Below are 26950 nucleotides of genomic sequence, written 5' to 3'. Positions count from 1 at the left end.
AACTGGAGCTCAAATGACCCTCAGTAGAAATAAACGTGTGCAAAAAATACCTCTGGGTACCCAATGTCTCACTGTGGTTTTTCTGTGTTTGCCTCTCAGGGAGAAAGCATTGGTTAGTATGTAGTGTTCTCATATTCCCTGGTGTGTAGTATACCCTGGTGTGTAGTACACACAGTGGTGTGTAGTCACTGAGTTAAAACCTTTGGGAAAGTCACGAGAAGACTAGAGAGACTGTCAATGACTTTGAACATTGCCTCTATAGCGTCTATAGCAACCAGAACAAATCTCCCGGTTGCAGGTAGTGCTGCTTCTGCTCCTTGTTCCCTCCCTCTCTTTCCCCCCACCATCCAGCGCACAGGCAGTGCTGTGTGCTCAAGAGCAACTAAACATTTGCTCAGTGGCTTGTACTTTCCTTAAATTGTCTTAAATAAAGGAAGTAAAAATTAGCTTGCTGCACCTAAAGCTCCAGCTGAGGTTCAATTTGTCCAGCTTCACATGCAATAATATCAACCTGGAGTGTAAGATTGCTGAGAGATTCTAAAGGAGAGATGCTTTAAACTCTTTGGGGAGCAAGAGAGACCTAAGTAAGAAAACAACCAAACATAGGCTAGGCGCGGTGGCTCACGCCTGTAATCCCAGCACTTTGGGAGGCCGAGATGGGCAAATCACCTGAGGTCAGGAGTTCGAGACCAGCCTGGCCAACATGGGGAAACCCTGTTTCTACTAAAATTACAAAATTAGCCAGGCGTGGTGGCACAAGCCTGTAGTCCCAGCTACTTGGGAGACTGAGGCAGGAGAATCAGTTAAACCCGGGAAGCGAAGGTTGTAGTGAGCCGAGATCACACCATTGCACTCCAGCCTGGGAAACAAGAGCAAAATTCTTGTCTCAAAAGAACTATTTATACAGTGTCTGCTCAATAAGCACTTTAAATGCATTATTTTATATGATTCCCATAGCCTCCCTTCAGGTGATATTACCACCTATCTTGGGCAGCAGGCCAGTGACGAAAGCTAAATCTGCACAGGACTGAGTCTGGGGTGTAACGATGTGAGCCTTCCAGCTGTCGTCTCTTTTCACATGGGTCATCCCTGGCATGAGCTTTTCTCTCCAATTCCTTCACTTTGTTTGTTCCTCCAGTGTAGCTTCATCTCTACCTTCACTTTATTTATTTATTTATTTATTTATTTATTTATTTATTTATTATTTATTTATTGAGATAAGTTTTGCTCTTGTTACGCAGGCTGGAGTGCAATGGCACAGTCTTGGCTCACTGCAACCTCTGCCTTCTGGGTTCAAGAGATTCTCCTGCCTCAACCTAGCTGGGATTACAGGCACCCGCCACCATGCCCGGCTAATTTTTGTATTTTTAGTAGAGACGGGGTTTCACCACATTGACCAGGCTGGTCTCAAACTCCTGACCTCAAGTGACCTGCCCTCCTCGGCTTCCCAGGGTGCCAAGATTACAGACATGAGCCACTGTATCCGGCCTCTACCTTCATTTTAACCATCTTTTGAGACACTTTAACTCTCTGAGAATGCACATACATAGGTAACTCGTGGGCCAGACACGATAAAAATGGCGAGACAGCTACTGTCTAGGGAGAAAGATGATGGGATGTGCAGAGAGAAAGGTGTTACATAGGACACTCTAATGAATAGCGAATCTGGCTTTTTGCACAGAATTCAAGACTTGAATTTGCTTTAGTCTTCAGAAGTTTGGGGGCTCATGTATGTGTTTGCGAGGTAACATTTACATTCTCCGTAGATGTATGCTACACAAATGTCACCTAAGAGTTAATGCTGTCCAGAGCATCCCTGAAAGCACAGCCTGATTCCAACCCTGAAGGAAGGCACTTATTTGGTAAAGGAGGGATTGGCATGAGGGGCAGAGAGAGTGGAAGAAGAAAGGAAGGGAAGTTGATACAAGATGCCTCTGGGGCTCGACCCTTGCACTTTCTGAGGAGCTTCTTGAGATGTGCTGAAGGACACGGGGTGCATGGTCCTGTAGGTGTGAACTTTCCTACACTGCCTGGCAGATTTCCTTAGGCATCCATAGTGAACCCTACGGCAGGAAGCCAGAAGCACAGGGAGTGGCCTGCAGCAAGGGGCCGGCAGGTGCCACCTGCTCAAAGCTGGTCAGTGCCTGTAGGAAGCCAGTCACTTCAACAGTGGCCACAGTGGGAATGACAGAGGGCCCAGAGGACTAGCAGGGGCACAGGGGGTGGCCAATAGGGGAGGAGGGTCTGCTGTCACAGCATAAGAATAAAAGTGTAATGCAGGGGAGCAGAGAGAGTTTAAGCCTAAAAGCTTAAACTCATTGATCTTTTTGTTTTCCCTACAATAAATTCCTCTGAAAAACCTTCACATCCATAAAATACTCACAATGTTCTTAAGAGTTTATTGTGAAACACAAAAGACCAAGATATCATGAATATCGGCGGGTATGTGGTAGTCTCCAGCATTCCTTCCATCCCTCACCCATTGTGTAGGATGTGGATTGTAGGAAACTGATCTCATCCTCCACTCCACAGGTGGAACCCTGACTATTTTAACTCAATCAAGGTCATCCCAGCCTCCTTTTCACAAAGATTAATTTAAGGAATTCAGGTTGAAGCCAATCAGTACCTGTTATTCCCATGGTATATGGATTAGTACTAGAGGTTCCAGAAACCTCTTCCCCAGGATGTTGTGTAGATGGATATAAGGCCTGGGAGGACCATACTTATTTTTATCCCCTTGAGTGAAGCCAGCCTAGGACAACACCCACTAAACAGAAGATTGAGAGACAGTCCCTGGATAGAGCCAAACTTGAAGCCATCCCATCCTGGACTTCCAGCTGTGCAGATACCATTTCTTATCGTTTAAGCAATGGTGAATCAGATTTGCAGCCTAAAGTATCTTAACTGACATTTCAACAGTCTTTGCCTCCCCAGCTTTTAATCAATGATTTAATTTCATGGAACATTTCGATTCCAGAGAAGGAAAAGTTGTCCCTTTCTTAGGCTGGGGCAGAATCTTCCTTTGGGTTCACATATTGACTTGTTTGCAGATTGCGTTGGTTTGAGGTCAAGATGGAACTGTTTAGTGTTAGCCCTTCCAGAACTCTTTCAAATTGTCATTTTTTTTCCTACTGAAAGAGTTTGACCAACTAAGCTGCAATTTGCCTTGAAACTATATGTCACCCATAACCTGTACTGTTAGACTGTGTTGATGGAAAAGATTTCAAGGCATTTTCCAAGGAAGAAAAAAAATGCCCGGAACTCAATGTTATTTTTTTTTTAAGCCTCACTTATGTAATACAGTGTATACTCAATTGTTTCCTATTAAGGTAATTCCCATCACATTAATATTTCATATCCCAAGGATTTAGTTTGTTGGCCTTATTTTTTAGTAGTTACCTAGAGAAGTTCTCCTTAATTTATGGGGGGCTCTCAGGAATGCCTCCTTAGTGGAAAGAAGACCAACTTTATAGGCAGGTCCCTGGGGAGAGGCACAGCTTTCCCTATTGCAGAGGATTGTGTTGTAGAAGCTGTTCCTGTGTCATCGTGTCCCTGAGTGTGACTCATTCCTCACAGCCTTTGCAGCAAATCCATTAGAAGCCGAGCAAGGGACCATTTCTGTGTGACAGATACTAGGACAATGAAGCTGGTTCATGCTAAATGTCTATGGCAAGAGACATTCCAAATCTGTCAAATGTTTAGGCAAGATTGTCCACCCTTCCTGCAACTGCAGATTAGGCTTAATGGAATATGACATTTGACTTCACATCTCTGTATGATTATCTGTCAGGTAATTCAAGGTACCTTCAGTTCTTGACTCAGAAAAGCTACTGCGTCAGGAGCTAACAAATGTCAGCTTACTGAAATTCACAAAAGGGGGTTCTAAATATTCACTTTCCATCAATTCATATTCAGTACTATTCAAATTTAAATCAATTTGTTCTAAGAGTTTAGAACTCTTTCAAGTTGTACTTTCTAGATCTAATTCTCTTATGGACTGCTGCATGTATAAATTTTTACTCTCACAAATACATATTCTATTATTTTCAAGGATACTGCATTTAATGCAAGTGTATGAGGCACCAAAGCCCTCCCATGTAGTCAAAACTTATAATTTCACTTTTTCCAGGGACTTGGAAAAAAAGGGGTAGTTTAGTATTGATCTAGCCATATAACAGAGATTCTAAAAGTTTAATTTTCCATGGACTTAGTGACGTTATTATGCCAAAATAACTTAAGCAATAATTCATAAGGGTTTTTTGAGGTGCCCAACAAACAAAGTTTTAAAGAACATCTTATCCTGCCCATCCCTGGGACACAGGGGAGCCAGCACTGGGTTCGAGTCAGAATTCTGGGTCCCAACGTGGGACCCCTGGTCATAGGTCACAGGGCAAGTGAGTCCTCTTCTCTGAACCTTGGTTTCTTTTTGGAGACAATAATACCCTGAAGATGGTTGAAGGAATTAAATGAGGTAACAGTAGATGCTAATTTCCTTTCTCATTTTTCATCCCTTAGAAACACTTCAAGAGAAAGAAAATTGAAGTTTCTGATTTCAAGATTTCTTAAGTCTTCATACCATGCCTTACATGATGTTCTCCTGACAACTTGTGACTACAAACAGAGGATTACCGCAGAATCATAAGCAAACACGGGGACAGATTGATTTTGAGATATTTTCTAAGACAGACAGTTGACTGCAGAAACATGCAGACTGGAGCTTGTGTTTTGAAAACAAGCATGCTAGAGACTAAACAGGACATGAAAGGTTTGCCTTTCTTGGTCTAAAACACATTTCTTTTAAAGATTTACCATCATAAAGACTTCTTTTTGAAAAGCTTTGTTGAAAACCAGCTTGTAAATTTAAAAATGCTCAAGAAAAAATTGTTTGTCGATGCAAAAGTTCAGCCAGGTTGCTTGGAATGATGACCAGATATGTCGCTAGAATTCTCTCTTCTATTTTCTTTCCTCTATTTAGGCTCTGGCTCATGCCTTGGTTTTGGATGACATGAGCTTCACCTTGCGGGGTTTTGGAGGGTGTTATCTGGAAAATACATGACATAGGCATGTCAGAAGAATTCAGATCTTCCTTCTTAGGTAAAAGGGGTTAAAATACTCTTAATTAATCATCTATCAGGGCATTGGGCTGTCAGTACAGATTACAATTTTTTTTTTTTTTTTGAGATGGAGTCTCGTTCTGTCACCCAGCCTGGAGTGCAGTGGCACGATCTTGGCTCACTGCAAACTCTGCCTCCTGGGTTCAAGCAATTCTCCCACCTCAGTCTCCCGAGCAGCTGGGATTACAGGTGTGCACCACCACGTCCAGCTAATTTTTGTCTTTTTAGTAGAAATGGGGGTTTCACCCTGTTGGCCAAGTTGGTCTTGAACTCCTGACCTCAGGTGATCCACCTGCCTCAGCCTCCCAAAATACTGGGATTACAGGCATGAGCCACCATGTCCGACCAACAATGTTTTAAGTAGTTAAGACTGCAGCATTTGGAACCAGGGGCAAATGTTTGAGTGGTCTTGAGCAAGTTACCTAAACTCTCAACAAAGTGGAGACTATACTATATTACCTGATTCACTCAGCTGTTATGAAGACTAAGCAAAGAAAGGTACGTGAAGTGCCTAACCCACATTGTCCAGAATATGCAAAGGCCTCAACACATGGATGAAAATATTGCCTGTCTGTCTGGGTGCCTCGGTTGGATTTATTAGTCAGGCTTGCATTACAGCTATAGAAAACTCCAAGCAGAGTTATTGATTGCTCTTGTAGTCAACACCCCATACCAACAAATACTTTGGAAACTTGTTGGAAAAATACTCTTTCTGGTAGTTCTGGACTATGCTCAGGGATCACTTGGGAGTTCTAGAAGCTGGGAAGAATCTCTCGAAGCTAAAAGATCAAAAACAATACAGGGAAACACGGAGACGAATGGATGTGAGATTCTTCCACGTGGGCGAAACAAGACAGTCATGACTAATGCTAGATTTACTCTTCCTTGGCTGAGAGCATGGTGTTTATTCGAAGTTGAATCTAGAGTGAAAGAGAATATACATGTATGCAAAACATCATAAGGGAGAGTTGTCTTAAAGACAGTGGCTCCTCATCTCAAATTCATTAGCATATACATGCCCACACAAGAACACAAAAGAACTTTCTGCCCCAACCAATTAAAAATATCAAAAAGGAGAAATGAAAACAGATTTTCTGTCTTACCAAAATATTATTTTTATTACTTTCATTTCCTAGGTTATGGGTGTTAATAAATGCTAAAAGCATTTCTAAATCTAGAAATCCATCCCACAAGATGTTTTTCTAGAGTCCACAAAAATCACACAGTTATGTTAATTTGCGAGTAAGGAAACTATGAACAACAGAGGTAGAGTTAATATGAGTAGAGAAAGGGTCTAACACCAAGTGGCACAAATGCAATTAAATCCTGGTTCACGTGACCCCCCCAATTCACAACTTTACTTTTATCAACATCCCACCATTCAGGAAACTTTTAGCGCACTAAATTCCTTTATTTTGTGAAAAAAATTATCATGTGAAATGACTGCTATATAGGACAGTCAATTAAATTTGAGTGTCAAAAACTGACTTTCTTTAAACATAGCAAAACCCTCCAAAGGTAAGCAATCTAAAAGTATTTTTTTCTTGATCAGTAAGTCTAAACTCTGCTATTAACACCATCTATCAGGTTCTCATGATGACATTGCAAGCAATGCCAGAACTAGAGCCCAGGTGGCTATGACTCAACAACTGGGTATCATTGGCAGAAAGAAAGAAATCTGAGGTTTCAAAATGGAATGAGAAAGGAAATGAAGGCCACTTTCCCCTTACTCCACAATGAATGAAGTATTGATACTGGGACTCACCTGGTGCAAGAATGAAGAAACAGCTGGATTTTATTTGTTCCTTTTGCCTGCTCCTTAGAACAATGGAACCTGCACTAACCAGCTTCACAAAGAGCTTTGATTGATGGCAGCTTTTCAGATACCTCTGTGGCTTAGTCTTATCTTGTTTGGTATCTCTATTGTTTCTGAACTGTAAACACCAAAGGAAGGACCCATTCAAAATGCAAGTACTAGGCTTATTCACACGACTCAAGATATTCTTTTCCAAAGTTGAGTAATAGAATGTGTCATAAAGACATCAAAATCTGGTAGATTTGATTTTAAAATTTGATTCATGACTGTCTTGACTGTCTTGTTTCGCCCACGTGGAAGAAGCCCATACTCATTCTCCTCTGTGTTTTCCTACATTGTTTTCAATTGTTTAGCTTTGGGGTGATTCTGCCCAGCTTTTAAGACCCCCAAGTGATCCCTGAGCATAGCCCAGAACTGCCAGAAAGAGTGGCTTCTGAAGTATTTGTCAGTAAGGGGTGTTGACTAGAAGAGCAATCAGGTAGGTATCAAAAAACTGCTTGGAATTTTCTGTAGCTGCAATGCAAGCCTGACTTGAGTAAATCTATCTGAGGTATCCAGACAGACAGGCAATATTTCCATCCATGCAGAGTCATAGACTGACATACATTTTGAGGTCTTTTCATATTCCAGCCATTGCATTAGGTACTTCATGTACATTTGCTTGCTTAGGAGAACTTCGAAATCTTAGGTCTCATTAAGAGTCTTTGATCATTTACCCACATGCATGCATACTCACACACAAACACACACAAAAAGCACTGGACTGGACTGCCTTTGAGTTGAATGCTGATCTTGAGATAACCCCTCGTCTGCATTTTTACCACCCAGATTTCAACTGGTTAAACTTTGTGCCTGTTTCACCTGCTAGAAAATTATTGAGCAATAATGATTTTAGATAACAATTTTAAAAGAATCTGTATATCTCTAATTCCAAAAATTTAAAAACTATTCATACCCATGGGGAAGATGTTTCCCTTACAATTATGTATTCTTTGTAACGTCACCCTTGTAGAACAAAATTCCTTTCTCTTTTTTTTGAGACAGGGTCTTGCTCTGTCACCCAGGATGGAATGCAGTGGAGTGATCTCAGCTCACTGCAACCTTTGTCTCCTGGGTTCAAGTGATTCTCATGCCTCAGCCTCCAAAGTAGCTGGGATTACAGGATCATGCCACCACACATGGCTAATTTTTGTATTTTTAGTAGAGAGAGATTTTCACCATGTTGGCCAGGCTGATCTCAAACTCCTGGCCTCAAGCGACATCCCGCCTTGGCTTCCCAAAGTGTGGGGATTGCAGGTGTGAGCCACCATGCCCAGCCCAAAATTTCTTTGTAGTGTCACCTTAAATATCTCTATGGATGAAACAGAAACTTGCTCAATCTGTTACCTCATTTTTGGTCTGAAGTCTTGAATAATAAGATACCAGGTTTATGAAGCAATATATGAGTTGTTTGGAACACAATGAAACTCTGTTTATTGTATGCAACTTCAGATAAGCTAAATAAGGATTTAAACTAACACTCCTTTTTGTTTGTATATTTGCTATCGCTAGGACTTCCTTTTTCAATTTAAAGATTGTGTCTTATGTGGGAGATCCATTCCAACCAAGCAAAACATCTAGCAGACTACAAAGGATTTAGCTTGTCTTGTTTGTTTACATAACTGAGTTGAGTATTGGACTATTAAATCTTGCATAACATTATTTTGATTAAAAGTAACTGGTTCAACTTGTTGCATGATAAGAATGAAACTTGTCAATATAATGCATTTATTCATGAGAAATGTTCATGTTTCATGTGAAACTTTCTTTTAAAAAATAAAACTTTAAAATATCTTAGTGCTGCTTTTACCTTAATATAATGAAGGAATAGTCTCCCCTGCAGCAGAGGTTGAAAATTAAACTACTCCCAGCGTAAAAAAAGTCTGATTTGTTTATCACATGGGACAAAGCTTATAACCGCAGGAGCTGGAGAGGTCTTATTTCCACACTTAGTTTCCAATCAGAAACAACCAATAACTATGCTATCCCAGCACTTTGGGAGGCCAAGGCCGGTGGATCACTTGAAGTCAGGAGTTTAAGACCACCCTGGCCAACATGGTGAAACCCTGTCTCTAGTAAAAATGCAAAAATTAGCCGGGCGTGGTGGCGCACGCCTGTAATCACAGCTGCTTGGGAGGCTGAGGCATGAAAATCCCTTGAACCTGGGAGGTGGAATTTGCAGTGATCCCAGATCGTAGCACTGCACTCCAGCCTGGGCAATAGAGTGAGACTCTGTCTCAAAAAAAAAAAAAAAAAAGCTGATGACATCATTTAACAAAAGGTTGGGTTCCTTAACGTTACTGACATCACATCAGCCTGGTACTGACCTACTGGCCCTGTATCTTATCCTTGCTCTTACTGGTCTATTCTTGTTAATTCCAAAGTGAGGAAGTTGTTTCAGTGTATTCATTACCACTTTTCCCCTCCAAATCTATACTTCAGAGGTTGTGCAAAGCTCCAAATTTTCCATTCCAACAAATCTTACGGTCTTTTTGCCTCCCTCTGTAGGAAAGGAGGTTATTCTATTTTTCCTGGACACATTAAATGGTGTGACTTGTTTCCCACTGTTCCATTTACATAATCTATGAAACATTCAAAGTATCTGTATCTCAAGTGAAAACAGAAATTCAATTGTACCAAAATTTCCATCAGGGCATTTTATAATAAGTTAAAGATTTTTCTATTACTTTTTACTTACTAGTATAATAGTGTGTTAGAAAAAGCAATTCGGTGAATATACTACAAAATTGTCAAAATTTTAGTGCTTAAAAAACATAATTTCTTTAATGTAACTATCAGAATTTGAGGTAACTATATTATTTTTTCAAGCTTATAGGTAATATTTGAATGGCCTATTTAAGCCTATGGATACCAAAAAATGGTGACTAAAAGCACACAAAATCTTGGGAAGCACTTTTTTCATATGACCTTTTGTTGCATATCATGATTTATAAGAGAACTGTCTTTGGTCACTTCCCTGGGAAACATTCTCTAAGATTTGTGCACTGAGATTACACACTGGAAATTTCTTTCGGAGGCCCCTCTAAGTCAGTGCTATGAGTGAAGGGAGTGCATTTTAGCAGAGGAAGGAGCTGAACTGTGATGTCTGCACAGACGCACACAAAACAAGGCAGAAAACTGAACCTCTCCCAAAGGAAGCTCTGGAGCTAACATCAGAGCTGTCCTGCTTTGAAGCAAGGGCAGAAAATTCTGCACTCCCTCACTTCCCCCAACCCACCCACAGCCGCAGACTCGTAGAAGGAGGCCATCCTTGGGCAAGGTAGCCTAAGATAATTCACGGAGAAGGACTCAGATGAGAATCTTTGACTGCCAATGCTTCCAGCAGCTGGGAAATGAGTGTCCCAGCTGTGAAGGTAACATCTGGATGGAGCACCCCAGTATCCACTCTAACAGTCAAAGGAAAACAAACTAGGTAGACAAGTGGTTTGGTTCATAAGCCCAGGGGATTCACTGCTCTGCATTAAATCCTTCTCTGTCTTCCTTCTGGGAACCATGAAATTGTCTCCATAAAGTCCATCAGCTATTTTAGCCACTTTTTTTTTTGAGACAGAGTCTCACTCTGTTGCCCAGGCTGGCGTGCAGTGGCGCCATCTTGACTCCCTGCAGCCTCTGCCTTCTGGGTTCAAGTGATACTCCTGCCTCAGCCTCCCAAATAGCTGGGATTCCAAGTGCGCACCACCATGCCGGGCTAATATTTGCATTTTTCAGTAGAGACAGGGTTTCACCACGTTGGCCAGGCTGGTCTCAAACTCCTGACCTCAAGTGATCCGCCCACCTCGGCCTCCCAAAGTGCTGGTATTACAGGTGTAAGCAACCGTGCTTGGCCTATTTTAGCCCCTTTTCTAATCTAGCCCCTCCTACTGTCATGAAATAGAACAAATGCAAACTAAGTTAGCAGGCCACATCCCAGGGAGGCTGGTAGAAGACATGAGACTACTGGGAGAGAGACAAAAGGATGGTTTATTTTTCACAGCTATACAGTAGCTGGGACTTCTGCACTTCTGTTGGTTCCCCACTCCCCAGTTCCCACAGGACAATGCAAAGAGGGCCAGAAGACACGTGCAGACACAGCAGTCATGATGTGGTAGAGGAAACTTGAAGGTAGGGAACTCGGACTTTTTAAAGTAGGCACTAAGCATGCCTGCCCTTTGCTTCAGAGACAGTGCCATCTCTGTCTTCCAAGACTATTTGCTATATAAGCATTCTTGAAGATATAGCCCAGAACATAGATGGCTAGTGCCTCTTTTAGCAAAGTGGAGATATGTAGAAACACAAGAGACCCATGAAGAATTTCCACCAGCAGCTCCCGCCTCATCAGCTGCCACAGAGAGAGAGAGCTGTACACCGTAGTGAGTTTAGTGAGCGCATGCGCTAAGGCCAGCTGCTCGAATTTCAGTACTGGTTCTATTACTCCTAAGAATGTGACTTGAGGCAAGTTCCTTAACCTCTGTAAGCCTTAGCTTACTCATCTGTGAAATGGAAATAGTAATAGTACCTATGGCCTATGGGTAGTGTAATCATACACCGAGATAAGCCACATGAAATGGCTGGCATGTGGTAATCAGGTGCCGAGTAAATGGTAATCCTGTTATTACAGTAGACTGGACACAGACCAACTGCCTGGTTATTTTCCCAAAGCAGTATCAGAAATAGGAAAAAAGGTGTTTGAAGGTTTTAGCTAACAGAGAAGTGGCTGACCGCTCATAAGACTCTCTGCAGGCCCTCCTTCACCTTGCATGTGTGTTTAAGTTCCTGCCCCTGCACTCCACAACCATGCGTTTTCACTCAGGTTTGGCCTCAGTAAGGCAGACAGCTGTTTGCGTTTCACATACTGTGACTCGAGTAGTTCCATAAGCCTCTGTGACCTGAAGTGTTCCTCTGGCAGCCAGCCGTAAATCTCTTGCTCAATCTCCTTTTAACTCCTCAAACTTAGAAGCCAAGCTGACATAATCCTTATCTGTGGGCTCAGCCCCACCGCAGCGGCCTGAGCTAATCCTACTCTTGCAAAGAAGAAACACAAAGATCTCTGGTTTTTTTTTTTTTTTTTGACAGGATCTCACTCTGTTGCCCAGGCTAGAATGCAGTTGCACAGTCATGGTTTACTGCAGCCTCAAACTCCTGGGCTCAAGCAGTCCTCCCACCTCAGCCTCCTGAGTAGCTGGGACTACAGGCATGTGCCACCACACCCAGCTAATTTTAAAATTTTTTGTAGAGACAGAGTCTGGCTATGTTTCTCAGGCTCATCTTGAACTCCTGGCCTCAGGTAATCCTCCAGCTTCGGTCTCCCAAAATGCTAGGATTTACAAGCGTAAGTCACCACACCCGGCCTACTCATCAGTTTTAAGTGCCAAGTTTTTTCTCACTGAGGGAGCATATTATCCTGTGGTAGCTGCCAGGGCCTGGAATTACATTTTAAGCCCAATTTGAATTGAATGGAAATGAGACCTAATCTCCCGCTCCAAGGCAGTCGCTTAAGGAACGTATTTTAAAGAGGAGACACTTTTCTTTCAACATCATCACTTTCTCCAAACATGACAAAATCACGTATCAAAACGAAATCTCGAGTTCAAGTTGTCTGTAGAGCTATGTTGTGTTGTAGCAGGGATATAGTAAATCTCACAGGCTTTGACAGGTGGTTAGGTAGTAAGATATCTTTCAGAAGGGATTTAGTTATTCCTTTTCTGTGAAGTCTGGTCTCTAAAATTTTTGCTACAAATACTCTGTCTCTCAGTTTTATAATGACATAAACGTATATCAGAAAATATCTAAAGCAGGCTGGGCGTGGTGGCTTATGCCTGTAATCCCAGCACTTTGGAAGGTCAAGGCGGGCGGATCACCTGAGGTCAGGAGTTCGAGACCAGCCTGGTCAACATGGTGAAACACCGTCTCTACTAAAAAAAAATAGCCAGGCATGGTGGCTAGTGCCTGTAATCCCAGCTACTTGGGAGGCTGAGGCAGAAGAATTGCTTGAACCTGGGAGGCAGAGGTTGCAGTGAGCCAAGATTGCACCACTGCATTCCAGCCTGGGCAACAAGAGTGAAACTCTGTCTCAAAAAAAAAAAAAAAAAAAAAAAGAGTTAATAGATAAATAGATGATAGAGATTTTGCTTTTTTAAACCTCTTCATCCACTGTAATAGACTACATGGTTTGTTAAAGGGGTAAGTATTATCTTTTCATCTCAACCCACATTTCACTCTGAATATTAATGGTTATTCCTAGAATCCTCTTTTTCCCATCCCTGAAAAGCAAATATACTCATATTCTTTGTTTTGGCGAAGGTCTTTATTATAGCCATAAAGGATAATGGATTTATCTAATTCCATCGTTTTTACTAACCAAAGTTATAAAGTTTTAATTCTACCTAGATGTTGCCAGTCAGAGTATAATGTGCCTTCAACCTAAATTATCACAAAGTACATAAAAACTTGGCTTCATAATTCTCATGATAATTTAGGTTATTGGTTTAATCCACCAAAAATACCCTCTGAACTTACAAACTGAAGCATACTATACCTGTTTCCTTTCGTGTTTTAGGTACTATGATAAGTTACCAGTAATTTATAAAAGAATGAACAAAAAAGCCACAATCTCTTTCATATGCTTCTAATTATTTTCAAAATACAAATGTTAAATAGTTTTTTATTTTTAAGGTACTATTTAGTTTTCCTTTTGTTACTTTTCCAAATTTTTTAAAAATTATTTTTTTATTTTGAGATAATTTTAGATTCACATGCAATTATAATAAATAATACAGAGGTATCTCATGTACTTTTTAACCTAGTTTCTCCCAGTGATAACATCTTGTAAAACTGTAGTACAATATCAGAGCCAGGAAATTGACACTAATACAATCCACTGATCTTATTCAGATTTCCCAGTTTTTCCTGTATTCCTTTGTGTGTATGTGTTTATTTCTATGCATAAATGTTCTATTTTTTTCTTCCATTAAGTTTTCAACCATCAGACCTCATTTGTGTTTCTGCTTCTGGAAATAGGAGATAGAGATTTTAGCTACAGCAATCAGAATCCACCCTGGAGTGTGCTGTTTTCCTGTGATAGCAAGAAAATGTTCCATTTGAAAACTGCTCCACAAAGAATCATCAGAAACCACAGAAAACAAATGATGGTGTTGGCGGCTTTTCTGTACAACTCAGTCTTTTATTTCAGAACTCTATATGCTAAAAGGGCAGGATTCTCTCTCATCTCCTCCTTCCTTTTTTTTCTATTTGTTTTTAACAGAGAAAGCAAAAACAGACTTTGGAAAAATCACAACTAAAGTAAATCTATTCTTTGGAGAGTTATATGTGGATGATTAACTTAAGAGAAAACTGGTTAATGGCAAGTACTGAAAGATCTGATCTTTCTAATGAACACATCTAAAAAAAACTTACAAAATAGAAGGTTGTTTATTCTTTAAGGCAAACTTGAAAAACACAAGATTATAAAACGTCTTGGGGAATAAAAATAAAGAACTCATTCCCTATAAACAGTTGTAGTGCTTTCTTACATCTCAGAGAGTGTCCTTACCTCAATACAAATACACAGACAGCACACACATACACACAGACATGCACCCACATTCATACCCACACACATACACACCCACATACACATACACGCACACACCAAGAGCTCAAATACGAAAGGCGAAATCAAACACCCCAGAGAGGGTGGTGATTCTGCCAAACTGCAGATACTGTAGCTCTTACAATAAATGGGAGGAAAAAGGATTGTTGTTGGCAAAGCATGGAGGACAGTGATTATTTTCTCAGGAAAAAAAGGTTAGATGTCATATTTTCCTCTGTTTTAACACAAATGACCGAACATTTAGAAAAACAAGATGCTTAAATCTTGTTAGGATAGAGTAATCTCATCTCATGTTAGCTTAAGAGTAAAACCCCAATTCTGCTTACCCCAGAATTTTTTCCATAAGGGCACGTCACTATCACTTGATAGACTTTTCCCACCAGGCTCTTTTCTTTCCACGCTTTCTGAAGTAGATATGCTTGAGAGGAAAAAAGGAGGGAGACATACTGAAAAAAGGAAAGGGTTGAGAGTGAAACACTCACATAAAACTGCCCATTTGAACTGTTTGTTCATCTTTGAATAATCTGAGAATTTATGCAGCATAGTCTATGAGTATTATCTGCAGAAAGCAGACCACAAGGGCTATCACAGACCTGCTCAATGATGGAGTTTCACCAGGGATCCAGGCTGAACACCCTCTCACAGGGCCACCTCCTGATCTTTAGTTCTGTGAGCCTTTGCTGTTTCGTGCTAGAGCTTTTAGTTGAAAGTAAAATGAAAGAAGTCCTCAGACTTCATGAATTCCAGGTGTCTGTGAAGTGGGACTGGCAACATTTTTTCCTCCCACCATAAAAAAGTTCTCTAGTCGGAGAAAGTATTCTGAAGCTTCTCTGTTCAGACCCTGGTGTTCTGAAACACACTGAGAGGTTCACAGGATGGAAGCAAATGAGGTCAGTGGATTCTCTCTTTGCACTCAGAAAAGAACACCCTGCTGGGCGCTGGCTCACAAAAGCCATGCTCTGAAGTGGCTCCACGCTGCCCTAGAGCATGGGTGGCAGAGATACTGCATCAGCAAAGAAACCGTGTGAAAATCGAAATTTGTCAGCACGAGGTCATTCTGCATCAATAATGAAACAGATAAACCTTTAAAAACCATCCGTTCCTTTTAATTCAGAAGCACATGATAGAGGCAGCAATTTATAAGCCAACCAAATTGTTTTGCAGTTAGGCAGACGTGAGGCCTTTCCTGATGGTTGCAAAGCCAAGCATAACCTGATGGTTGGTTGCCACATGGGATGTGGGAGCCAGAGGCCCCGGCTTTCCTCTGGCCCTGGAGCAAACTGGCTGGCGGATGAGATGGGCCTGTTTCTCATTAGCCCAGTTCACCTAGTTCCAAAGAGGACTGGCTCCTCCTAGATCTGGCAGCATAATTCATGAGACGCCTGGATTTTGAACAGCACCCCAGGGCAGCACTCAGAAGAAAGGTCTCCAACAGTGAAGTCTTCCTAAGGAGAAAACGGAGGAGACAAGCACCCCTTTCTCCACATACTGCACCCGCTTTGGATGATTCGGCTTCTGGTCTGAAAGACGTGGATTAGTGGCTCGCCTTTGAGTTAGAAATTTCCTTAAGTCATTTGCATTCATTTACTGGGGCACTTAAGCCAAATTGATCTGACCAATACATCAAAGCTATGGCCTCCTCAGTTACGGAGACATACCAGCTGAAAATCATCAATCTCGTCAACTGTCGGGAGCCTTAGCTAGTGTTCAGAATCAGAGGCTAGGTTTACGCTTATCTCTGTCCCGCAGGCTGGACACACGCTCCCAGGATGCCAGGCCAGGAGCGGCATTCCAGGGCAGGGGCTGTTTAATGTCAGCAAGGGGTCAGGAGGGCAGGCCACTGCATTCTGACAGCTAAACCACTGGTCTCTTCTGTCTTAGGATTTTCATTCATGTTCCCGAGCAATCGCGCCTCTAGGAAACTGGCAATCTCTCTTTGAAGCTGCGGCGGGCAAATGCCTGCACACCTGCCCGTACACACACACACACACACACACACACACACACACACGCACTCCTACATGTATACATATGCGTTCAGAAAACTCTCTGCTAGTCTACAGTCTTCAGAGCTAATATCTGATCATTCATTGAAGGGACTTGCTGATCACATTCTTCTTTCCTTGAAAATGTATTAAAAATGTACATTTTTTTCCACTGATTATTCTCAGATAAGCATGTGATTTGCAAAAGTACTTAATGCTACAGGAAGCTTTATAAATGCTCAAACACACTAATAAAAAATTCTGATTTCAGTCTTAAATAGAAAGTGTAGTATAGTGGTTAACTATTTAGGAACAGGAACTGGACCCTCTGGGTTCAAAGCTAATTCTGCCATTTATTACAAATAGAGATGTAATTTTGGCCAGACTACTCGTTATCAAGTTCTTGTGCCTTGATTTTCTCATTTTTAGAAAGGGGCTAATATTAACAGTACCTACCTTATACAGCTATTATAATAAGAAGATTAAACGAGTTAATATAGACAAACAGCTTAGAACAGTGCCTGGCACATAGTAAGTAGCTAATGAATGTTGCTGTCCAGGCTATCACTATTATTATTATTGACTAATGTGCTCTACAAGCAGGCTCCTGCAGACACACTTAAGTAACAATTCACTGTTATTTATTTATTTATTTATTGAGGTGGAGTTTCGCTCTTGTTGCCCAGCCTGGAGTGCAATGGTGCCATCTCAACTCACTGCAACCTTGTCCTCCCGGGTTCGAATGATTCTCCTGTCTCAGCATCCTGAGTAGCTGGGATTACAGGTGCGTGCCACCGCACCCGGCTAAGTTTTTTGTATTTTTAGTAGAGACGGGGTTTCGCCATGTTGGCCAGGCTGGTTTTGAACTCCTGACCTCAAATGATCCACTTACCTCGGCCTCCCGAAGTGCTGGGATTACAGGCGTGAGCCAGCGTGCCAGGGTCACAATTCACTGTTTATATCATTACACTATTTTCAAACTATAATCGCATCCATTATCCTGTTCAAATCCTTATCACAGCCTTCCAACGAGTGTGCTGATCATGGGATCTGCATCTACTCACTGCAGAAAATTAATCTCAGAGAGGATAACTTATTTGTTCATGGACAGAAAGCAATTTTCTGAGTCATAACCTTTGGGCCAGCCCTCTTCCAATAACACTGAATTCTTCAACACCTGAATACTCTGCTGTTAATGTAAATTATACTTTTAAATTTTATTTACTTTATAGTCTTCTGGGATGTCTTCTTGGACTCACAAAGGCAAATTATTACTATTTTTCATGTAAACCGGAAAAAGTTCCTAGAATTTGTGCATCCACGTAGAGCCATGAGTTTCAAACAGTGGGCCACCATCCTTTAGTGGATAATGAAATCAATTTAGTATATTATAACCAGAATTTTTAAAGAAAAATGAAATATGATAGAATAGAAAATAACAGAGTGCAATATTATTTTGTGAAGCTCCTATCTGAGTTAATTTTTTCTTTGCATGTGTGTATACTAGGTTGTAATTTAAAATGTAAATCATTTTTTAAAATGTATTCTTCCACACCCACTAGGATGGCTATAATTTTTTTAAAAAACAGAAAATAACAAGTGTTGGTGAGGATGTGAAGAAACTGGAATCCTTGTACATAGGTGGTGGGGATGTAAAATGGTGTGGCTGCTGTTGAAAACAGTCTGGCAGTTCCTCAAACAGTTAAACACAGAATTATCATATGACCCTCCTGAGTATACACCCACAAGAATTAAAAACAGGCATTCAAACAAATACTTGCACATAAAAGTTCACAATAGCCAAAAGTTGGAAACAAATCAAATGTTATCAACAGGGGAATGAATACGCGAATATGGTGTATCCATTCAGTGGAATAGTATTCAGCCACAATGTGGATGAACCTTGAAAACATTTTGCTGAGTGAAAGAAGCCAGACACAAAAACTCACATATTGTATGATTCCATTTATGTGAAACGTTTGGAAAAGGGACATCAATAGAGACAGAAGGCAGATGAGCGGTTGTCAGGAGCTGGGGGGCTCAGGAAATGGGCAGTAATAGCTTACTAGGAATGAGGTGTCCTTTAAGGGTGATGAGAATGTTTTGTTAATAGAACCAGAGAGATGGTGGTTGCACAACACTGTGAATGCACTGAGTGCCACCGAATTATACACTTTACAATAGTTAATTTTATCTTACATGATCTTCACCTCAAATGGAAAAAAAAACCCACCAAATTTCCTCTTCTAGGTCATAGTCAAAAGAATTTGAAATCCATTGAAATGGAGGGTCATGTTCGGTCAGGTGGCCTGTCTTCTCAGCACAGAACTACGATGGTCTCCATCAGTTTCCACCCTGCAGGAGAGAGCAGAGCACCTTCCTTCTTCAGCTCCCATGCCTGCCCTGACTCTGCTTAAGGAAGGGGAGCTGGATTTTAAGAAGAGCTACTACCTATCTTGGATTTTCTCAAGAGCTGAGAGGAATCATAGATTCCTCCCATCTTGAGAGAAACATGCAACGAGAGACAGCAGATGATCTAGAGACAGGGGTCTGGAACATAAAGTCAGACCTAGACTCAAAGACTCAAACCCCAGTTCTACCATAGACTTAATCCATGACCTTGGGCAAATAATGTATCCCTCAGTTTCTTCGTGTGCTAACTTTGCATTGTTGTAACAACAATTAAATGAGATAATGCATGTGAAGCTCACAGAGCATAATAGGTGCTTAATAAACAGCAGCTGCTACTATTATAATTAATATTATGCCAATATTTCAACGATTCTAAGCCTCACATCTTTACATGTTTTAACATCTCCAAAGTCAGGACACATCTTGTAACTGGAAACAATTCATAGTTTAATTGGTCTCATTTAAAAATCTTTTTTAGTGGTACATCTTACAATCGATAGCATTTTGGATTTGATTAAATACAGTATTTGGATAAAAGTGCTCTAGAATAGTGGGTCTCAACCCTATAAAACCAAATGCTTCCTTTTAACTATAATTATTTTGCAATGCCTCTTTACCAAACTGAAGTAAGATTTATAGTTAGCATAACCAACCTAAACACAGAGGTTAAAACCATCAATATGCTACTCTGACGGTCATACACATAAAGAACAAAAAGTAATTTACACTAAAGAATTACACATGTCAATGTGTAAAAGCTTAGGCTTAATTACACCAAAGGGTATAGTGAAGTAGGTAGATATTTTATGCATATGTAAAATCACTCCCAATGTAAAAACTACAAAAATCAGGCTGAATCTGAGTGTTGTATTGATGACTCATGAACTCAAACATGTGATTAACATTGATGATGTCATTTTCTGGAATAGTAAATAACTCTTGATAAGTTCTGAATGAAACAATCTTCTCTGAAAAAATTTAGTGTATATTACACTATACAAAAAATATACCTTGTGACTACACATAAAATAAAGTTCCAGGTTCAGATAATTAAATACAGATTTTTCACTTGCACATGAAGTCTTGGATCATATTCAAGAATTATGAGTACAGGCCGGAGTGATTGTTTACATCTGTAATTTCAGCACTTTTGGAGGGCAAGGAGGGAGGCTCGCTTGAGCCCAGGACATTGACGCTGCAGCAAACAATGATTGCACCACTGCACTCCAGGCTGAGTGACAGAATGAAACTTTGTCTCTCAAAAAAAAAAAAAAAAAAATTCTTTGGTACAAGGGACTTTCCCATACATGGCCAAATGCCTACCATTCTGTCCCACAAATGCCAGTTTACCCCCTAATTGTGGCAACTAAAAATGACTCCACCCATATTTCTAAAGCAGATCCTAGGGTCAATATAGCTTCTGTTGAGAGCCACTGTTCTCAGACTGGTGCCCTGCCTAAATGGCACTCTGCAAGTCACAATGCAGAAAGCCAGATCCTTTAAATATGAAAGGGCCGCTTCTGTGCTGCATAGTGAATAAAAACTGAATTAAATTTGTTACGTATGAAATTGCAAGACCTTTCCGACCCTTCAACTTAACTCCCACCCACCCCATACATGCCTGAAGAGCAGAAAAATGAAGCTCTGAGTGGGGGAATTCAAAAGCTCCTGCCACTGTCCTACCCTCTTGGGGACTCCATAGCCATACAGGTCACACTGGATAACAAAACCTTCTTCATTTACTCCGTCACCTTATAAAGTTAAGGCATCGTGAAGATAAAATAAGGTAGCTGTTGCTGAAAGCATCAGAAAACTCTACCATATTTTATAAATGTTACCTAGTGTTTTTATCACTAGCCAAAAATGTGAGTGTGGAAAAAATTTTAAATAAAACAAAAGGTAGTATATGATACACCAAACTGATGCGATGGTCAGTGAACTCCTGTTAATATCGTTCTCACACAATTTGAGTGGTTCTTTAGGCAATATTTCCTTGGTTTGCTGAAAACCTTACAAAGTGGTGTGACCAACTTTGCCAATTAAGAAAATAACTCTGGCTTGTAAATTATCAAAGTGAAAGTTATGAAGATAAGTTGGGGACTAAGAAAACACTACCTCACAGAATCCTGGCAATAGCATATTTTTCACTCAATAAGGAAAAACATATGCCAGTGACTAGGATGCTAGAGAAAATAATTTAGTACTGTTTTTTTCAAATCCGGTAGCTCTTACTTTAAGTCTGCTAACTCTTCCTTAATCCTCAATAATATGGAGATCCAAGTAACCAGATGGCTTTTCTGTTTCTGTTGGTTTTATTCCTGCTGTTAATAAACACTTGTCTCATTAGAAAGAAAAGGTATGCTGCTTACAGGTGGCTATATGGATAGTCTTAAAAGGATTGATAGATTATTTTGCAAAAATCTGCACTAATCCTAAAATAATTAGTAACTACTAATACAACTGCCACAAAAATTAAGGGAAATTTTTTTGTTCAGAATTTGCCAACAGTGACAATAAAGACTAAAGTAAGAGATAACTAAATTTTTTAATTCACAACTTTCTAAATATCAAAAGATACACCAGAGAGAGAGAGAGAGAGAGCAAATAAAATGTCAAGGACATATATTTATATTTGACATAAAAATAAAGCTGTGTCAACAGTGTTTTCTTATATTTAAAAAACAACAATGGAACAAACCAATACAAATAAAATAAAACAGTTGAAATGGTTACCTATAGGAGGAGGGAAGAAACAGTTGGAGGAGACAGAGATGAATACTAAATTTCTTAAATATGCTTTGGAATCATGCAGATATTTTATATACTATTACACTAAATTTAGCTCAATCAAAGCAAAAATGTAAATCCTCAAAGTAAATGATATAGTTTGGACGGTTTGTCCCCTCCAAATCTCACGTTGAAATGTGATCACTAATGTTGGAGCTGGGGCCTAGTGGGAGGTTATTGGGTCATGGGGGTGGATCTCTCATGAATGGCTTGGTGCCATCCCCTTGGTGATAAGTGGGTTCTCCTGTTCTCGCTCAGTCAGTTCACACAAGATCTGGTCATTTAAGAGTCTGGGACCTCTTCCTTTTCTCTCTCTTGCTTCCTCCTTTGCCATGTGATATGTCAGCTCCCTCTTCACCATCTGCCATGATCATAAGCTTGCTGAGGCCTCACCACAAGCAGATGCCAGCACCATACTTCCTGTGAAGCCTGCAGAACTGTGAGCCCAAACAAACCTCTTTTCTTTATAAAAGTATCCAGCCTCAGGTATTCCTTTATAGCAATGCAAACTTACTGACACAGAAAATTGGTACCAAGGAGTGGGGTGTTGCTATAAGATACCTGAAAATGTGAAGGCAGCTTGGAACTGGGTAACAGGCAGAGGTTGGAAGAGTTTGGAGGGTTCAGAAGAAGACAGGAAGATGAAAGAATGTTAATCTTCTTAGAGACGTGTTAAGTGGTCGTGACCAAAATGATGATAGTGATATGGACAGTGAAGGCCAGGCTGACAGGTCTCAGGTGGAAGCAAGAAACTTATTGGGAACTGGAGCAAAGGTCACCCATGTTACACCTTAGCAAATAATTTGGCTGCATTGTGTCCATGCCCTAGGGATCTGTGGAAGTTCCAACTTACAAGTGATGACCTGGGGTACCTGACAGAAGAAATGTCTAAGCAGCAAAGCATTCAAGAGGTGATCTGGCTGCATCTAACAGCCTACCATCAAATATGGGGGCAAGGAAATGACTTAAATTTGGAACTTATATTTAAAAGGGAAGCAAAGTGTAAAAATTTAGAAAAGTCACAACCTGGCCACATGATAGAGAAGGAAACAGCATTTTCAGGGAAGAAATTCCAGCAGGCTGTGGAATAACCACTTGCTAGAGAGATTGGCATAACTAAAAGGGAGCCAAGTGCTAATATCCAAGACAATGGGGAAAAGCCTGGAAGGCATTTCAGAGACCTTAGAGACAGCCCTTCTCATCACAGGCCCAGAGACCTAAGAGGAAAGAATGGTTTCAGGGGCCAGGCCTGGTCCCGGCTGCTCTGCTCAGCCTGGAGACACTGTTCACTGCATCCCAGCAGCTCTGCTTTCAGCCTTCACTCAAGGACCCCAGATATAGCTTAAGCTGGTGCTTCAGAGGGCCCAAGCCATAAGAGTTGGCAGCTTCCACGTGGTGTCAAGTCTGCAGGCACACAGAATGCAAGCCTGAAGGAGGCTGGACAGCTTCCTTGTAGATTTCAGAGGATGCATCAGAAAGCCCAGGCAGAAGCCTGCCACAAGGGCAGAAAGACTCACTAGGGCAGTGCTGAGGGGAAATGTGAGGTTGGAGCTCCCACACAGAGTCCTCACCAGGGCACTGCCTAGTGGAGCTTTGTGGGGGGCCACTGCCTGCCAGTCCCAAGAATGGTAGAGCCACTGGTAGCTTGCACCCTGTACCTGAAAGGCTGTTGGCACTCAACTCCAGTCCACAAGAGCGGCCACAGGGGCAGACTGCCCAAGGCCTTGAGAGCCCACTCCTTGCACCAGTGTGCCCTGGATGAGGGACATGGAGTCATAGATTATTTTGTTTTGGGTTTTTTTTTCATATACATTTTCTTTTCTTTCTTTATTTTTTCATAAAATATTTCAGGGAAAAGGATTATTTTGGAGCTTTAAAGTTTAATGTCTGCCCTGCTGGGTTTTGGACTTGTCTGGGTTTTGAACTTGCTCCTTTCTTTTGGCTGATTTCTCCCTTTTTGAATGGGAATGTTTATCCAGTGCCTGTACCACAACTGTATCTTGGAAATAACATGTTTTGATTTTACGGGCTCATAGGTGAAAGGAACTTGCCTTGAGTCTCAGGTAAGATTTTGGATTTTGGACTTTTAAGTTGATACTTGGAATGAGTTAAGACTTTGGGAGACTATTGGAAAGGGAATATTGTATTTTGTGATGTGAGGACATGAGATGTGGGGTGGGAGGCAGGAATGGAATTACATGGTTTGGGTGTGTGTCCTCTACAAATCTCATGTTGAAATGTGAACCCCAGTGATGGAGGTGGAGCATAGTGGGTGGTATTGGATCACGGGGGCAGATCCGTCATGAATGCCTTAGTGCCATCCCCTTAGTGATGAGTGATTTCATGCTCAGTTAGTTCATGCAAAAACTGCTGGTTTAAAGAGCCTGGGACCTTCCCCTTCTCTCTTTTCCTCCCTGTCTTGCCATGTGATATGCTTACTCTCTCTTTTCCTTTTGTCATGATTGGAAGCTTCCACCAGGATCAGAGGCTGATACTATGCTTTGGACTGCAGAACCACAAGCCAAAATAAACCTCTTTTCTTTATAAATTACCCAGTTTCAGGGATTCTTTTATAGCAATGCAAAAGGACTAATACAGTTATATATAATATTAAACAATGAACTAAGAATCTGGTTCATGGCATAACCAGACAGAAAACAATACTTAGTGACTTTTCTTTGAATAATTCTAGTAGGCCATACTTTAAGTAAAATAAGAATAACTAATAATAATAGAATAATTTAAAAACTTCTTCTAGTAATCATATTGTTGGTGGGATTGTTTGTGGTGTTGTTCTGTTATTGTATGTATAATGTGAGACAGGGTAAATTAGTAATTATATTTCTATTTTTGAATACTGAGATTTTTGGTGTGGGAGACAAAAGGTAAAAATATAGGATTGATTAATTGCTAAATTTAAAGTGGGAGTGTCAGTATCAACCCCTGATATATTGTATCTTTAAAAAAAACATATTTCCCAGTTCTGCTTGCTGAAAGACTTAGAAACAATGATCAATCCAATAACAATGCACACTCATAGATCCCAGATTGTGTTCTCTATGTATCACATCTAACTGAAAGGAGTCAGGGCTTGGAACATCTTTTCTTTTCTTTCTTCTTCTTCTTCTTTTTTTGATATGGAGTCTCGCTCTGTTGCCCAGGCTGGAGTGTAGTGGCACAATCTCAGCTCACTGCAACCTCTGCCTCCCAGGTTCAAGCGATTCTCCTGCCTCAGCCTCCCGAGTAGCTGGGACTACAGGCATGTGCCACCGTGCATGGCTAATTTTTTGTATTTTTAGTAGAGACAGGGTTTCACTTATTAGCCAGGATGGTCTCGATCTCTTGACCTCATGATCTGCCCGCCTCAGCCTCCCAAAGTGTTGGGATTACAGGCGTGAGCCACTGTGCCCGGCCAGAACATTTTTTCAAACCAGATATCAAACAATCTATTGAATATTACTAGGATCATATCAAAAGGACTCAGTTTATAAATTAAATAAAGTTTATGGGCTAACTATAGGGCACTTTGAGCATCAATAATTATAATGCACTGGATTAAAACATATCAAGTATGTTAAGTGTTTGGTTGTGTTTAAAGACATCAGGGAACCCGCTTATTTTGAAAACTAATAATTAAAGGGAAAGAATCAAGAATTTATCCTGTCTTTCCAATATCAGTTTTATCTCAAATAATCAAATAGTTGTTGAGAGAAGTGTCTCTTTGTAGAACTATTCCACCTGATAAATAATGATGGAATGATAAGATATCATCATTTTGCAAACTCTAGTAGATTAATAAATCCAGGCAATAATTATCAATGTAGCTAACATCATACAGAGAGTCAACCAGATATTATTTATCTCCAGATGGATGTATACAGTACTATCTATGAAGAATTCTTGGGAAGAAAACAAACTGAAATCTAATCAAGCTTTTAGACATTAAATACCATTTCACAGGAAGTACAAGAGAGAAAGGAGCAGATCTGTTCAATGACACCATGGGATGCAATTAGCAAATCCACATTGTGGGAAACTCTGCAGGACAAACAACCCAGTTTATGAGAGAAGGGGTGGAGGTGGGGAGGAGTGTGAGAGCCTGTAAATAAAAGGAGACTTCAATGACTCATTCATCAGAGGCTATGTATGAACAATCAAACTATACAAGACATGTATGTACAATGAGGGAGGTCTGAATACTGACAAGCTGTTTGACAATATTGTGAAATTGCTCTTTGACGGGTAGTTATTGGTATTGTGCTTAGTTAAAAAGGGAAGTACTTGTTTTTTTTAAAACATACATAAGCACACATATGATGCACACATATTTCTCTGATATTCACAGATGATATAATGTGATGGGATGTCTGAAATTTGCTTCCAAATAATTCAGAGAGGAGGCAAGTGGTGTGTCAGAGTACAGAGGAAACAAGACTGGCCATGAGTTGATAATCTTTGAAGCTAGGAGATGAATACATGTTGGTTTATTGTTTCAACTTTTGAACACATTTGGAATTTACCATAATGAAATTTTTTTAATCAAAACCAAAATATTATACGTAAAGCATTCCAAAAATAAACTACCAATAATTGTTAACTAAATGATAACAGAGCCTAGAATAGTCATAGGATAATATGATGGATTTTCAGGATGGGAGTCTTGAAGTGATAAACCATACGGTGCACAAAATTTATGCTTCTAAGGAAGACAGTGAAATCTTTGTTTATGTTAACTGTGTGCCTTTTTGAAAAAGTCACTTAGAAAAATCCTCAGAAAGCAACTAGAGAATTGAATACGCCAAAATTCATGACAAGCTATGAAGCTGGACTTTTACCAAGTTACACATGCCTAAAGAAGATACACAATCTTCACTGTAGTGAAACTGACACTGGAAAATGAAGCTAGTCACTCAAATAGATAAAAAAAAAGTGACATCTTGTGTTACATCTGCGCCATCAAACATTTTAAAACATAGATACATTTATTTGTACAGTTTCCTTTTAAATTAATAGAGAAAACACAATGGAACTTAAATATGAACCCCTGACATAAATGTGTTCTAAGTCAAGAGAAGCTATTGCATTTCTGCAGATACAAGGGAGTCATTGATTCACCCAGCCCCGGTCAGCCAGCCAATCTCTTGAAAAGTGGCCATTAGAAGTGCATGAAGCTTGTAAAGCAAAACCT

At 40.4% G+C, this 26950-nt stretch overlaps 3 long non-coding RNA genes across 4 annotated transcripts in view, besides 4 other annotated features; 1 reads left to right on the top strand and 2 right to left on the bottom strand.

Moving 5' to 3' along the window:
* LOC107985176 (uncharacterized) overlaps positions 1-4595 on the top strand; it is a 78185-nt gene extending 73590 nt beyond the window's left edge. The window contains exon 3 of the long non-coding RNA XR_001753338.2: positions 4516-4595. This is a non-coding gene — a long non-coding RNA (uncharacterized LOC107985176). The remainder of the gene's footprint in view (positions 1-4515) is intronic.
* Positions 1-26950, bottom strand: part of LINC01387 (long intergenic non-protein coding RNA 1387) — a 79238-nt gene that overhangs the window by 17080 nt on the left and 35208 nt on the right. The gene's annotated exons all lie outside the window — the stretch shown is intronic.
* Positions 1712-2502: an enhancer, noted in NCBI's record as "NANOG-H3K27ac-H3K4me1 hESC enhancer chr18:6571071-6571861 (GRCh37/hg19 assembly coordinates)". NCBI's record gives its function as "activates a minimal SCP1, AML or CMV promoter by ChIP-STARR-seq in naive H9 embryonic stem cells {active_cell/tissue: H9 hESC(naive)}" and the evidence as "EXISTENCE:reporter gene assay evidence [ECO:0000049][PMID:30033119]".
* Positions 2380-16100, bottom strand: LOC105371972 (uncharacterized). 2 transcript variants are annotated; one of them, XR_935116.4, is made up of 3 exons: positions 15172-16100; positions 14905-14996; positions 2380-5041 (listed from the first exon to the last, which is right to left on the bottom strand). It is a non-coding gene; the product is annotated as an uncharacterized LOC105371972 (long non-coding RNA). The 2 variants fall into 2 exon arrangements; XR_001753341.3 differs by lacking the exon at positions 2380-5041 and adding an exon at positions 6880-7048 and having other exon boundaries at positions 15172-15860.
* Positions 2503-3292: an enhancer, noted in NCBI's record as "NANOG-H3K27ac-H3K4me1 hESC enhancer chr18:6570281-6571070 (GRCh37/hg19 assembly coordinates)". NCBI's record gives its function as "activates a minimal SCP1, AML or CMV promoter by ChIP-STARR-seq in naive H9 embryonic stem cells {active_cell/tissue: H9 hESC(naive)}" and the evidence as "EXISTENCE:reporter gene assay evidence [ECO:0000049][PMID:30033119]".
* Positions 15527-16220: an enhancer, noted in NCBI's record as "OCT4-NANOG-H3K27ac hESC enhancer chr18:6557353-6558046 (GRCh37/hg19 assembly coordinates)". NCBI's record gives its function as "activates a minimal SCP1, AML or CMV promoter by ChIP-STARR-seq in naive and primed H9 embryonic stem cells {active_cell/tissue: H9 hESC(naive and primed)}" and the evidence as "EXISTENCE:reporter gene assay evidence [ECO:0000049][PMID:30033119]".
* Positions 16221-16914: an enhancer, noted in NCBI's record as "OCT4-NANOG-H3K27ac hESC enhancer chr18:6556659-6557352 (GRCh37/hg19 assembly coordinates)". NCBI's record gives its function as "activates a minimal SCP1, AML or CMV promoter by ChIP-STARR-seq in naive H9 embryonic stem cells {active_cell/tissue: H9 hESC(naive)}" and the evidence as "EXISTENCE:reporter gene assay evidence [ECO:0000049][PMID:30033119]".

Source organism: Homo sapiens, chromosome 18 (genome assembly GCF_000001405.40).
Source record: "Homo sapiens chromosome 18, GRCh38.p14 Primary Assembly".
NCBI classification, from domain to species: domain Eukaryota; kingdom Metazoa; phylum Chordata; class Mammalia; order Primates; family Hominidae; genus Homo; species Homo sapiens.
This window is presented reverse-complemented; position numbering and strand designations above follow the sequence as displayed.